The following is a 12,245-nucleotide window of genomic DNA, read 5'->3' as shown; positions in this document are numbered from 1 at the left end:
TTTTTTTTTTTTTTTTTTGAGACGGAGTCTCGCTCTGTAGCCCAGGCTGGAGTGCAGTGGCACAATCTCGGCTCACTGCAACCTCCGCCTCCCGGGTCAAGCAATTCTCCTGCCTCAGCCTCCCGAGTAGCTGGGATTACAGGAATGTGCCATCGTGCCCAGCTAATTTTTATATTTTTAGTAGACACGGGGTTTCACCATGTTGTCCAGGCTGGTCTTGAACTTCTGACCTCGTGATCCGCCTGCCTCGGCCTCCCAAAGTGCTGGGATTACAGGTGTAAGCCACCGTGCCCAGCTCCACCTTTCTTTTAATCATCGTTGTGAAGCTACTTGAATGAATTGGATTCAATTTTTATATTATTTTTAATTTATAAATTTAAATTTTTAATTTTTAATAAAAATTTAACAAATTATTTGATAAAGAAAAAATAGCTAGACTATTCCATTTAAATAACTATGTTCATTTTCTTTATTTCCCTCTGCATTTTCTTTTTTTTTGTTTTTTGAGATGGTGTTTCACTCCTGTTGTCCCGGCTGGAGTGCACTGGTGCAGTCCTGGCTCACCACAACCTCCACATCCCAGGTTCAAGCGATTCTCCTGCTTCAGCCTCCCGAGTAGCTGAGATTACAGGCATGCACCACCATGCCCAGCTAATTTTTTTTTTTTTTTTTTTTTGAGACAGAGTCTCGCTCTGTCACCCAGGCTGGAGTGCAGTGGCGCGATCTCGGCTCACTGCAAGCTCCGCCTCCCGGGTTCACGCCATTCTCCTGCCTCAGCCTCCCTGGTAGCTGGGACTACAGGCACCTGCCACCATGCCTGGCTAATTTTTTGTATTTTTAGTAAAGACGGGGTTTCACCGTGTTAGCCAGGATAGTCTCAATCTCCTGACCTCGTGATCCGCCTGCCTCGGCCTCCCAAAGTGCTGGGATTACAGGCGTGAGCCACCAAACCCGGCCAATTTTGTATTTTTAATAGAGACGGGGTTTCTCCATGTTGTGCAGGCTGGTCTCGAACTCCCGACCTCAGGTGATCCGCCTGCCTCAGACTCCCAAAGTGCTGGGATTATAGGCGTGAGTCACTGCGCCCGGCTCCTTCTGCATTCTCAATATACATTATGTAACAGTTAAAGCAAACATTTTATTTGCTCCTACATTTGACTCAGTTTCTTTACAATTTTCATAATTTTCAATAACTACATTAAGCTTCCACTTTCCACTGTGTCTATTGTAGCAGTTAAATATGAAGTTTCTCTATTTTTCCTTATTACAAAAGAATCTATATTCATTAGAAAACTGAGTTAATCTGAAAATACAGAGATACAAAAAGAACATGAAAATAGCCACGAAACCTTCCTACCTAAAGACAGTTGCTATCCAGTGGTTTACCTTTCCAGGCCCAACTACATATGCAGACAAAACTCTTTGGTAGGTTTGGTAACTTCTTTTTTTGTCAGACAGTATTATGAATATCAATGAATCTCATAGGTGAGTACATTTATCAACATTTTTTTTTTGTTGTTTTTTTGAGATGGAGTTTCACTGTCACCCAGACTGAAGTGCAGTGGCATGACTGTGGCTCACTGCAACCTCTGCCTCCTGGGTTCAAGCAATTCTCCTGCCTCAACCTCCTGAGTTGCTGGCATTACAGGCGCCCACCACCACACCCAGCTAATTTTTATATTTTTCGTAGAGGCGGGGTTTCACCATGTTGGCCAGGCTGGTCTTGAACTCCTGATCTTAGGTGATCCGCCCGCCTCGGCCTCCCAAAGTGCTGGTATTACAGGCGTGAGCCACCACGCCCGGCCCATTTATCCAACTTTTTTTTTTTTTTTGAGAGAGTCTTGCTCTGCCGCCAGGCTGGAGTGCGGTGGCGCCATCTCAGCTCACTGCAACCTCTGCCTCCCAGGTTCAAGCGATTCTCCTGCCCTAGCCTCCCTAGTAGCTGGGATTACAGGCGCCTGCCACCACACCCAGCTAATTTTTTTATTTTTAGTGGAGACAGGGTTTCACCATGTTGGCCAGGCTAGTCTCGAACTCCTGACTTCAGGCAATCCACCTGGCTCAGCCTCCCAAAGTGCTGGGATTACAGGCGTGAGCCACTGCGCCCGGCTTTATCCAACTTTTAAAATGACTTAATAGTACTTCTTTTACAAAAATACAATAATTTAGCTGGGGGCAGTGACACACACTGGTAGTCCCGGCTACTTGGGAGGCTAAGGCGGGAGGCTTGCTTGAGCCCGGGAGTGTGTTATTATCACGTCTATGAATAGCCACTGTACTGTGGCCTGGGCAACATAAGCAGGACCCTATCTCTTGAAAAAGAAAAAATAATAATTTTAAGTTTACATAGCTCAAATGAACATTTGGATTTCCTTTTGTTGTTGTTGGCTGTAAGAATGATGTAATGAATAGCCTTGTTGCAAGATTTTTGTGTACCTCCGTCAGTCCTTAGGGTAGATTTCACCAAATGGTATTTTGTATCAAAAGGCATACATATTTCTAAGAAATCTGATACCCACTGCCAAACTGATCTCCAGAAGGGTCCTATATTACATCAATTTGTACTCCCAACAACAGTTTTGATGGAATGATGCCTCTTTTCCTTCATCCGTCCTATATCATTTTTATGTCAATTTAGTTATGTCTAGTAGTTGTTGTTTCTTTGAGACGGAGTCTTGCTCTGTTGCCCAGGCTGGAGTGCAGTGGTGGGATCTTGGCTCACTGCAACCTCCACCTCCCAGGTTCAAGTGATTCTCCTGCCTCAGCCTCCCGAGTAGCTGGGACTACCGGTGTGTGCCACCACGCCAGGCTAATTTTTTGTATTTTTAGTAGAGACAGGGTTTCACTGTGTTAGCCAGGATGGTCTCGATCTCCTGACTTCGTGATCCACCTGCCTCAGACTCCCAAAGTGCTGAGATTACAGGTGTGAGCCACTGTGCCTGGCAATGTCTAGTAGTTTTAATTTACATTAATTACTAGTGATTGAACATTTTTTTGTGTATCTTGGCCACTTGTTCTTTTCTCAGTCTTTTTTTTTTTTTTTTAGATAAGGTCTCACTCTGTTGTCCAGGCTGGTGTACAGTGGCTCAATTATGGCTCCCTGCAGCTTCAAACTCTTGAGCTCAAGTGATCTTCCCGCCTCAGCCTCCCAAGTACCTGGGACTATGACTGTGCACCACCATACCCAGCTAATTTTTTAAATTTTTATTTTAGTAGAGAGGAAGTCTTGCTGTGTTGCCCAGGCTGGTCTCAAACCCCTGAGCTCAAGTGATCCTTCCGCCTTGGCCTTCCAAAGTGCTGGGATTACAGGCATGAGGCACCACACCCAGCCTTCTTAACACACCATTTACTGACAGAATCCTTTTCCTCTGAAATGCTCTATTTATCAAAAATTAAATTTCTATGAATGGTTGGGGCTATTGTATTTTGTTCCATTGGCCAGACTGCCAATGTCTTTTCCTATTATATACTGTATTAATAAATTCTCCCTTGATTGCTCTAAAATTCATTGGCTTTTCTCACATATCAATTCTTTCAGGTGAACTAGAATTACTTTATCAAAGTTGCCAGAAATTCCATTGTAAAGATGTATAAATGAATTGGAGGCATTATTTATTTACTGAGACGGGGTCTCTTGTCGTCCAGGCTGGAGTGCATTGGCATGATCTCAGCTCACTGCAACCTCTGCCTCCCAGGCTCAGGCAATCCTCTCACCTCAGCCTCCTGAGTAGCTGGGACCACAGGTGCACTGTGCCACCACAAATACAAAAAACGTCTGTATTTTTTGTAGAGACAAGGTTTTGCCATGTTGCCCAGGCTGGTCTTGACCTTCTGAGCTCAAGTGATCCACCCACCTTGGCCTCCCAAAGTGCTGGGATTACAGGCGTGAGCCACCATGACGGGCCCGAAAACTCAATATTTTTTAATGTCAATTATGCCCCCTCGGCTGGGCACAGTGGCAGGAGGATTGCTTAAACCCAGGAGTTCAAGGCTGCAGTGAGTTATTGTACCACTGCAAGAGCAAGACCCTGTCTCTTAAAAACAAAAAAACAAGAGAACAAAAAATAGTTGGCTGGGCGTGGTGGCTCTTGCCTGTAATCCCAGCACTTTTGGAGGCCAAAGCAAGTGGATCACTTGAGATCAGGAGTTCAGGAGTTTGAGACCAGACTGACTAACATAGTAAAATCCCGTCTCCATTAAAAAAACAAAAATTGGCCGGGCGTGGTGGGTCACGCCTGTAATCCCAGCACTTTGGGAGGCTGAGGTGGGAAGATCACAAGGTCAGGAGATCGAGACCATCCTGGCTAACATGGTGAAACCCTGTCTCTACTAAAAATACAAAAAATTAGCCGGGCATGGTGGCGGGCACCTGTAGTCCCAGCTACTCGGGAGGCTGAGGCAGGAGAATGGCATGAACCCGGGAGGCGGAGTTTGCAGTGAGCCAAGATCATGCCACTGCACTCCAGCCTGGGTGACAGAGCAAGACTCTGTCTCAAACAAACAAACAAAAAAATTAGCCAGGAGTAGTGGCATTTGCCTGTAGTCCCAGCTACTAGGGAGGCTGAGGCAGAAAAATCGCTTGAACCTGGAAGGCAAAGGTTGCAGTAAGCCGAGAATGTTCCACTGCACTCCAGCCTGGGCGACAGAGTGAGACTCTGTCTCAAAAAAAAAACAACAACCAAAAATCCCAAAAAACCATGCCAGGCCTGAAGTCTCAATATTTTTATGAATAAATGTCAATTATGCCCCCTTGGCAGGATGCAGTGGCTCATACCTGTAATCCCAGCACTTTAGGTGGGCGGACTGCTTGAGCTCAGGAATTTAAGACCAGCCTGGGCAACACGTTGAAACCCTATCTCTACCAAAAATACAAAAATTAGCCGTGCAGGTGGCAGGCGCCTGTAGTGGTAATTCTACAGTAAACAGTATGGTGCTTCCTCAAAAAATTGAACATAGAATCATCCTATGATCTACCGATTCCATTCCTACATGTAGACCCTGTCTCTCAACAACAAAACCCAGAATACAAAAAACCCACTATCAAAAATAAGATATATTTTGGAGGTTGTAAACAGTTAGTCCTCTTAGTTGCAAGTGATAGAACCTCAATTTGTACTACCTTAGTAGGCACAAGGTGGAGGTGTTGAGATTTACTAGCTCATGGAATCCATGAAGAAATGAACAAACCATGGTAAGGGGAGGAATATGGAGCTTCAGGAACTACTGGAACCAGAGATTTGACAGCTTCCCAGACTCTTAGTCTCTCACCTCTGCTGCTTTCTGCACGTCGGCTTCTTTTTCACACAGGCGAGTTGGTTCCATATGGAACCAACTGACACGTGGCTGCTGACAGCTCGTATGTTTTACATTTTATGGCTTCCACACTGAAGGGGAATTTTCTTTCTCAGTTTCAGTTAAAAAAATTCTGGGTAAGGACTCTGGCCCATCTTGGCCCAGGACCAGTGGCCAGGGTATGAGGTCACTGAAGATAACAGTGTGCAATAGTCAGAAGTATTTACATAAACATGAAAAAGAAACAGAATGAGATCTGTAACACAGTATCAATTAGGTACATTTAAAACACATACATACATAAAACATTACATATTATTCAAAGATACATGTATATTCAAAGACATATATCAAACACATTAGAGTGAATACCTAAGGAGGGAGGAAAGGAACATTAGTGGGAACTGGAATGAAGAGAAAAGATAAAATGAGAAAGGGCTTGTTAATGACAGTGTGAATAAACGAGTATGACTGGCTCAATTCTCTGCACCTGAGGGGAAAATAGCAAAATAAAGGAGTGACACAGGAAAGAAAACAAAGAAAAGAAAAAAGTACTTTTGAGTGGGAGTAAGGGGCATTTTCCAAGTGAAAATAAAGGGGAGAATGCTGGGGAGATGATTCCATACATGTTCATTATAGGAACAGAAGAGACATATCCTGATAGTGGATTGAATGGGGGAGAGAAGTGTGAAGAATAAATCCTGGGCCAGGCCTGGTGGCTCACACCTGTAATCCCAACACTTTGGAAGGCCAAGGTGGGAAGATTGCCAGAGGCAAGGAGTTTGAGACCAGCCTGGGCAACACAGGGAAACCCTGCCTCTACAAATTATTATTATTATTATTATTTTGAGATGGAGTTTCGCTCTTGTTGCCCAGGCTGGAGTGCAATGGGGCAATCTCAGCTCACTGCAACCTCCGCCTCCCGGATTCAAGCGATTCTCCTGCCTCAGCCTCCCAAGTAGCTGGGATTACAGGCATGTAGCACCACACCTGGCTAATGTTTTGTATTTAGTAGGGACAGGGTTTCACCATGTTGGTCAGGCTGGTCTCGAACTCCTGACCTCAGATGATCCACCTGCCTCAGCCTCCCAAAGTGCTGGGATTACAGGTATGAGCCACCACACCCGGCCAATATTTTTATTTTTTTGAGATGGAGTCTCACTCTGTCACCAGGCTGGAGTGCAGTGGTGCGATCTTGGCTCACTGCAACCTCTGCCTCTTGGGTTCAAGTGATTCTCCTACCTCAGCCTCCCAAGTAGCTGAGATTACAGGAGCGTGCCACCATGCCCAGCTAATTGGCCAGGATAGTCTTGATCTCTTGACCTTGTGATCCACCCACCTCGGCCTCCCAAAGTACTGGGATTACAGGTGTGAGCCACCGTGCCCAGCCAAAAATTTTTCTTTAAAAAGAGTAACTCCTGGGTTTTGACTTAAATGGTGGTACAATTTGTTGAGATTTAAAACAGGAGAAGAAATAAGTATTTGACAGGAAAATCAGATTTGATTAGCTAAGTTTGAATTGTTTATGAAACATCCAAGAGGATGTCCCTTTTTTAAAAATTATTTTTTGCCAGAAATGTGTGTATATTAGTATCTGCTTTATTTCTGAAGAATGAGCTTTTCAATCTATTTAAAGTACAGCTCTTTTTCCCTTATTTCTGATTGTTTACTCTGCCATTTTCCTTTAATTGTCTTCTATATTTGTTGAATGCTTAGCTTACTAATTTTCACTTTAAAAAGAAAGCATATAAGGTTACTTATAGGATTTTTCCTCTGAGAAGTGCTTTAATATCATGGATTCCATTATGCAATATTTTCATTATTATAATTTCTAAATAATCCAAGATTTTAGTCTTGTTTTCTTTTTTGACCCATGAATTATTTAAAATTGGTGGTTTTTTTGTTGTTTTTTTTTTTTAAAAAGACATTTATTCAGTGTCACGATCAGACTATTACATTTAGCAATCAACAGCTTGGGTGCAAAAAAAAAAAATACATTAAAACCCTTTGTTGGAATGCTTTACACTTTCCACAGAACAGAAACTAAAACAACCTGTTATACAACTAGTCACAAATACAGTCTTCGAGTTTTTTGCCCATACACATGAGTATTTGTCTAAAACATATCTTCTTTGTAGCAGCTAGGCCCTGCCACCACTGTGCTTGGCTTAGTTCACAAATCTGTTGTAACCTGTAGCTTCCCTGTCACTTCGCTGGCTCTCCTCTCATGCTAAGCTTTGTTGCCTAATTAAAATCTTCCGCCACTGCCATAGCTACTGCTGCTACTGGAACCGCCATAGCCACCTTGGTTTCGTGGTTTGGTAAAGTATTGGCCTGCACCACCATAGGGGCCAGAGCTTCTGCCTCCAAAGTTTCCTCCCTTCATGGGTCCAAAAATTGAAGACTAATTGTTGTAATTGCCAAAATCATTGTAGCTTCCACCTCCAAAATTGCTTCCATCATTACCAAATCCATTATAGCCATCCCCACTGCACGATATCCACCACCACCACAGCTGCCACCAAAGCCACCATGACCACTGAAATTTCCTTCACAACCAAAGTTGTCATTCCTACCGAAACCACCTCCACGACCACCACCAAAGTTTCCAGAAGTACTTTGACCTCTTTGGCTGGATGAAGCACTCACCATCTCTTGCTTTGACAGGCCTTTCCTAATTTCACAGTTGTGGCCATTCACAGTATGGTATTTCTGAATGACAGTCTTATCCACGGAGTCATGATCATCAAAGGTTACAAAGGCAAAGCCCCTTTTCTTGCCACTGCCTTGGTCAGTCATGATTTCAATCACTTCAGTTTTTCCATACTGTTCAAAATAATCACTTAGGTGATATTCTTCAGTGTCTTCGTTAATGCCACCAACAAATATCTTTTCCATAGTTAAGTGGGCATCTGGTCTTTGAGAATCTTCTCTTGAGACAGCTCTCTTTGGTTCCACAACTCTTCCATCCACCTTGTGTGGCCTTGCATTCGTGGCTGCATCCACCTCCTCCTCAGTGGCATATGTGGCAAATCCAAAGCCCCTGGAGTGCTTGGTGTTTGGATCTCTCATTACCACACAGTCCGCGAGTGTTCCCCATTGCTCAGAATGGCTCCTCAGGCTCTCATTGGTTGTTTCAAAGCTCAGCCCTCCAATGAAGAGCTTCTTCAGCTGTACGAGCTCTTTAGGAGACTCTGACTTAGACTTGGCGGTGTCCATGGGTGGAAAGTGTTTGTTTTGTTTTATTTTTGAGACAGAGTCTCTATCTGTCACCCAGGCTGGAGTGCAGTGGCGTGATCTCGGCTCACTGCAGCCTCTACCTCCTTGGTTCAAGTGATTCTCCTGCCTCAGTCTCCCAAGTAGCTGGGATTACAGGCACCCACCACCACGCCCGGCTAGTTTTTGTATTTTTAGTAGAGACGGGGTTTCGCCATGTTGGCCAGGCTGGTCTCGAACTCCTGACCTCAAGTGATCTGCCCACCTTGGCCTCCCAAAGTGCTGGGATTACAGGCATGAGCCACGGGGCCTGGCCTAAAATTGTTGTTTTTAAAAAAATTCCAAATGGTTAGAATGTTTTGCTTCATTTGTGGCTATTCACTTCTAGTTTTATTACTTTGTGCTAAGTAAATATGACCTGTACAATTTTTTTTTTTGACGGAGTCTCACTCTGTCGCCCAGGCTGGAGTGCAGTGGAGCAATCTCGGCTCGCTGCAACCTCTGCCTCCCAGGTTCAAGCAGTTCTCCTGCCTGAGCGTCCCAAGTAGCTGGGACTACAGGTGCCCGCCACCACACCCAGCTAATTTTTTTGTATTTTAGTAGAGATGGGGTTTCATCTTGCCCAAGCTGGTTGGGAACTCCTGAGCTCAGGCAATCTGCCCACCTCGGCCTCCCAAAGTGCTGGGATTACAGGCGTGAGCCACCGCGCCCGGCCAACTTGTACAATTTTTACTTTTAGAAACTGAATTCAAGGCTGGGCGCGGTGGCTCACGCCTGTAATCCCAGCACTTTAGGAGGTTGAGGCGGGTGGATCACCTGAGGTCAGGAGTTCGAGACCAGACTGGTCAACATGGTGAAACCCCATCTCTACTAAAAATACAAAAAATTAGCTGGGCATGGTGGTGGGCGCCTGTAATACCAGCTACTCAGGAGGCTGAGGCAAGAGAATTGCTTGAAACCAGGAGGCAGGTTGCAGTGAGCCAAGATTGTGCCACTGCACTCCAGCCTGGGCAACAAGAGTGAAACTCCGTCTCAAAAAAAACGAAAAACAAAAAATCTCAGCAGCTTTCATTGTGATACTGACTTAAATATGGTTGTCTTTCTTGTCATTTCTTTTTACCTGGTATTTCATGAATTCTTTAAATCTGATAATTCAAAAATTTCCACCAACGTAGTAAATTTTCTTCTACTATTTGATTATTGCTCTTCTGCAGTCAGCTGTATTATCCCCTTCTGGAACTCGTATTTAATTATTAATTTTTTGTACCCCTTCTCCATGTCTCCTATCTTTGTCTCTCAGTTTTTATCTATTACCTTTTCCTTCTGAGTTCTGGTAAATTTTCTTGAACTGGTTTAACTTTTGGCATATCTAATCTGCAGTTCACTGACACTGTTGCATTAAATGGGTGGTGCCATTTGTCCTAAGAAAGTTTTCTTGTTTTCCATTATTTTTCCAGCTGAAAAAAGAAATCATGCAATGGCCTCTCAAATTTCAATATGAAACAGATTATTTTTTAACGCTTCTTCCTATTTCTCTCAAATCTGGTGGCAAAGGCTGTCTTCTGCTCTGACCACTCAAATGGTTCCTCTTCTGAACTGTTGGATCTTTTCACCCATCATCTACTGACTTTCTTCTTATGCTTAACCTTCCGGTGACAAAGTGTCACGTAAAAGGAACTGAAGGAGTTCTGTCAGAGGTTGTGGCAATCCCTTCGGCTCAGACTAAGGAATAATTGGTAACTATTCTGTGATGGGTGTGGGGTAAAAGCCTATGGGGCTGTGGAGGGGCAACAGGTGGAGGCAGGAGGCCTTGGGGAAGGGAGCTTCACCTCTGTACAGTTCTCCAAAAAAAGATTCAAGTACCAGCCTTCTGGTATAGTTCAATTTTAAAGATGGGAAATTAAAAAGTCAACCTGAGATCCACAGCAGTAATTTTTTTCAAGAATCCATAGTGACACAGAAATTCCCAAATTGACTTTTTTTTTTTTTTGAGGCGGAGTCTCGCTCTGTTGGAGACTCCCGGGCTGGAGTGCAGTGGCGCGATCTCGGCTCACTGCAGTCTCCGCCTCCCGGGTTCAAGCGATCCGCCCGTCTCAGCGTTCCGAGTCGCCGGGATTACAGGTCCCAAATGGACTTATATGCCTCCTGATGTACTTCCTTCCACACGATTCCAACTATATCGTATCTAGTTTTTAAAAGTCAGGGGGCGGCCGGGCGCGGTGGCTCACGCCTGTAATCCCAGCACTTTGGGAGGCCGACGCGGGTGGATCACCTGAGGTCAGGAGTTCGAGACCAGCCTAGTGAAACCCCGTCTCTACAAAAAATACAAAAATTAGCCGGGCTTGGTGGCGTGCACCTGTAATCCCAGCTACTAGGGAGGCTGAGGCAGGAGAATCGCTTGAATCCAGGAGGCAGAGGTTGCAGTGAGCCGAGACCGCGCCACTGCACTCCAGCCCGGGAGTCTCCAACAGAGCGAGACTCCAACTAAAAAAAAAAGGGAATAGTAACAACTACTCTTAGCAGATCTTCAAGGTCCCAAGTAATGGCCCGCGGCGCTAGGCCGGGCCTGTGGCGGGAGAGCCTGGCCTAAGGTGTCCAGAGGAGCCCAGGCTGAGGGGTGTCTCTGTCAACCCGAGTCCCAGACTAGCAGTGTCCTTGGTGTCCACGACAACAGCAACGGCAGCCACCGCCGCAAACGCCCGCCTGGCCTGGCACGGCCCGGCCTCGCCTCACCTCAGCTCACCGGCGCCGCGCCTCCAGCTCCAGCCTCCGCGCGCCTCCCCGGCCGCACCTCTGCGCACGCGCAGCGCCCGCCCGCCCCACCCAGGCTCTCGCTCCGGTCCCGCCCCTCTGGAACCGGCGGCGGGCGCTTTTCCTCCCAGCGCGGCCACCGTCGTTCGGAAAGGGAGGGCGGCAGGGGGCGGGGAAAGGCCGGGAGGTGGGCGAGCGCGCGCGCCGCCCGTCTGTGGTGGTTTCCTGGCTGCGCGCGGCGGTGGCGGAGCCGCTACGGCTGTAGCAGCAGCCGCGAAGATGGCGGAAGGGCTGGAGCGTGTGCGGATCTCCGCGTCGGAGCTGCGCGGGATCCTGGCTACTCTGGCCCCGCAGGCCGGGAGCAGAGGTGAGTCGCGCCGCCCAGCTCCTGGGCCGGGCCTGCCCGCCCCGCCTCCCTCTCCTCCTCCTCTGCCTCCTCCCCGCTCGGCCCTCGGCTCCGGAGCCCCCGCCCCTTCCCCCAGCAGTAGGCGCTGGGGCCGCGGCGGACCCTCGCTGCCCTACCTCTCTCGCGGGTTAGTGCGGGGTCGGGCTCGGCCAGTCCTGGCCAGCTCCGGGAGAGCCTGGCCCGAATTCCTGCCTCCACCCTCTTTCTCGCCGCGAAGGTGACTGTTCCTTTTGCCCCAGCCCTCTCAGACCCGCCCCGGATTCCCAGGCATCGGGAGACGCGGAAAGGAGTGGGGTCTGGTGGAGGCCCCGGGCGTATCGCTCTCCAGGCCGCCCTCCGCGGGCCTGCCCCGGCCACCGCTTTAACGTCGGAGAGAAGGAATTGGGGAGAAAGGTTTAAGAGCCTGCGACTTCGTTGCTGAACTTTTCCCCCCCAAGACAGGCTTCCGAAAGCTGCGCCACTGGAGGGATCCGGGACCTCAGACTACTCGGGTTTGGCCCTGGCATGTGTGGGAGCAGTTTTTATTAGAGAGAATGCTCAATTTGCAAGTTAATTTCAAGTCTCCAGCCACGTCAGGAAA

At 47.0% G+C, this 12,245-nt stretch overlaps 2 protein-coding genes and 1 pseudogene across 15 annotated transcripts in view, besides 4 other annotated features; 1 reads left to right on the top strand and 2 right to left on the bottom strand.

Moving 5' to 3' along the window:
* Positions 1 to 11,881, bottom strand: part of SRR (serine racemase) — a 21,887-nt gene extending 10,006 nt beyond the window's left edge. Inside the window, exon 1 of one of the 5 annotated variants that reach the window (XM_006721565.4) lies at positions 11,782 to 11,881. The gene's annotated coding sequence lies outside the window, so the exon portion shown is untranslated. Of the gene's footprint in view, positions 1 to 5,268; positions 8,783 to 11,241; positions 11,317 to 11,781 lie in introns of those variants that run through there. The other 4 variants (NM_001304803.1, NM_021947.3, XM_011523974.4 and 1 more) reach the window with 4 other exon arrangements.
* On the bottom strand, positions 7,211 to 8,497 carry HNRNPA1P16 (heterogeneous nuclear ribonucleoprotein A1 pseudogene 16; annotated as a pseudogene).
* Positions 11,225 to 11,444: a silencer, noted in NCBI's record as "silent region_7989". NCBI's record gives its function as "represses an Ori minimal core promoter by ATAC-STARR-seq in GM12878 lymphoblastoid cells {active_cell/tissue: GM12878}" and the evidence as "EXISTENCE:reporter gene assay evidence [ECO:0000049][PMID:35858748]".
* Positions 11,225 to 12,072: a biological region, named in NCBI's record as "H3K27ac hESC enhancer GRCh37_chr17:2206481-2207207".
* Positions 11,346 to 12,072: an enhancer, noted in NCBI's record as "H3K27ac hESC enhancer chr17:2206481-2207207 (GRCh37/hg19 assembly coordinates)". NCBI's record gives its function as "activates a minimal SCP1, AML or CMV promoter by ChIP-STARR-seq in naive H9 embryonic stem cells {active_cell/tissue: H9 hESC(naive)}" and the evidence as "EXISTENCE:reporter gene assay evidence [ECO:0000049][PMID:30033119]".
* SMG6 (SMG6 nonsense mediated mRNA decay factor) overlaps positions 11,474 to 12,245 on the top strand; it is a 243,947-nt gene continuing 243,175 nt past the window's right edge. For 7 of the 10 annotated variants that reach the window (NM_017575.5, XM_047435697.1, XM_011523772.3 and 4 more), the window contains exon 1: positions 11,474 to 11,626. In NM_017575.5, the coding sequence (NP_060045.4) occupies positions 11,539 to 11,626 (88 nt within the window). In that variant the 5' untranslated portion in view covers positions 11,474 to 11,538. Of the gene's footprint in view, positions 11,627 to 11,739; positions 11,883 to 11,911 lie in introns of those variants that run through there. The other 3 variants (XM_011523769.3, XM_047435696.1, XM_005256569.5) reach the window with 3 other exon arrangements.
* Positions 11,635 to 11,844: a silencer, noted in NCBI's record as "silent region_7988". NCBI's record gives its function as "represses an Ori minimal core promoter by ATAC-STARR-seq in GM12878 lymphoblastoid cells {active_cell/tissue: GM12878}" and the evidence as "EXISTENCE:reporter gene assay evidence [ECO:0000049][PMID:35858748]".

The sequence above is a fragment of the Homo sapiens genome, chromosome 17 (genome assembly GCF_000001405.40).
Source record: "Homo sapiens chromosome 17, GRCh38.p14 Primary Assembly".
Classification (NCBI taxonomy): Eukaryota; Metazoa; Chordata; class Mammalia; order Primates; family Hominidae; genus Homo; species Homo sapiens.
The sequence above is the reverse complement of the archived record's forward strand: the minus strand, read 5'-3'. Positions and strand labels throughout refer to the sequence as shown.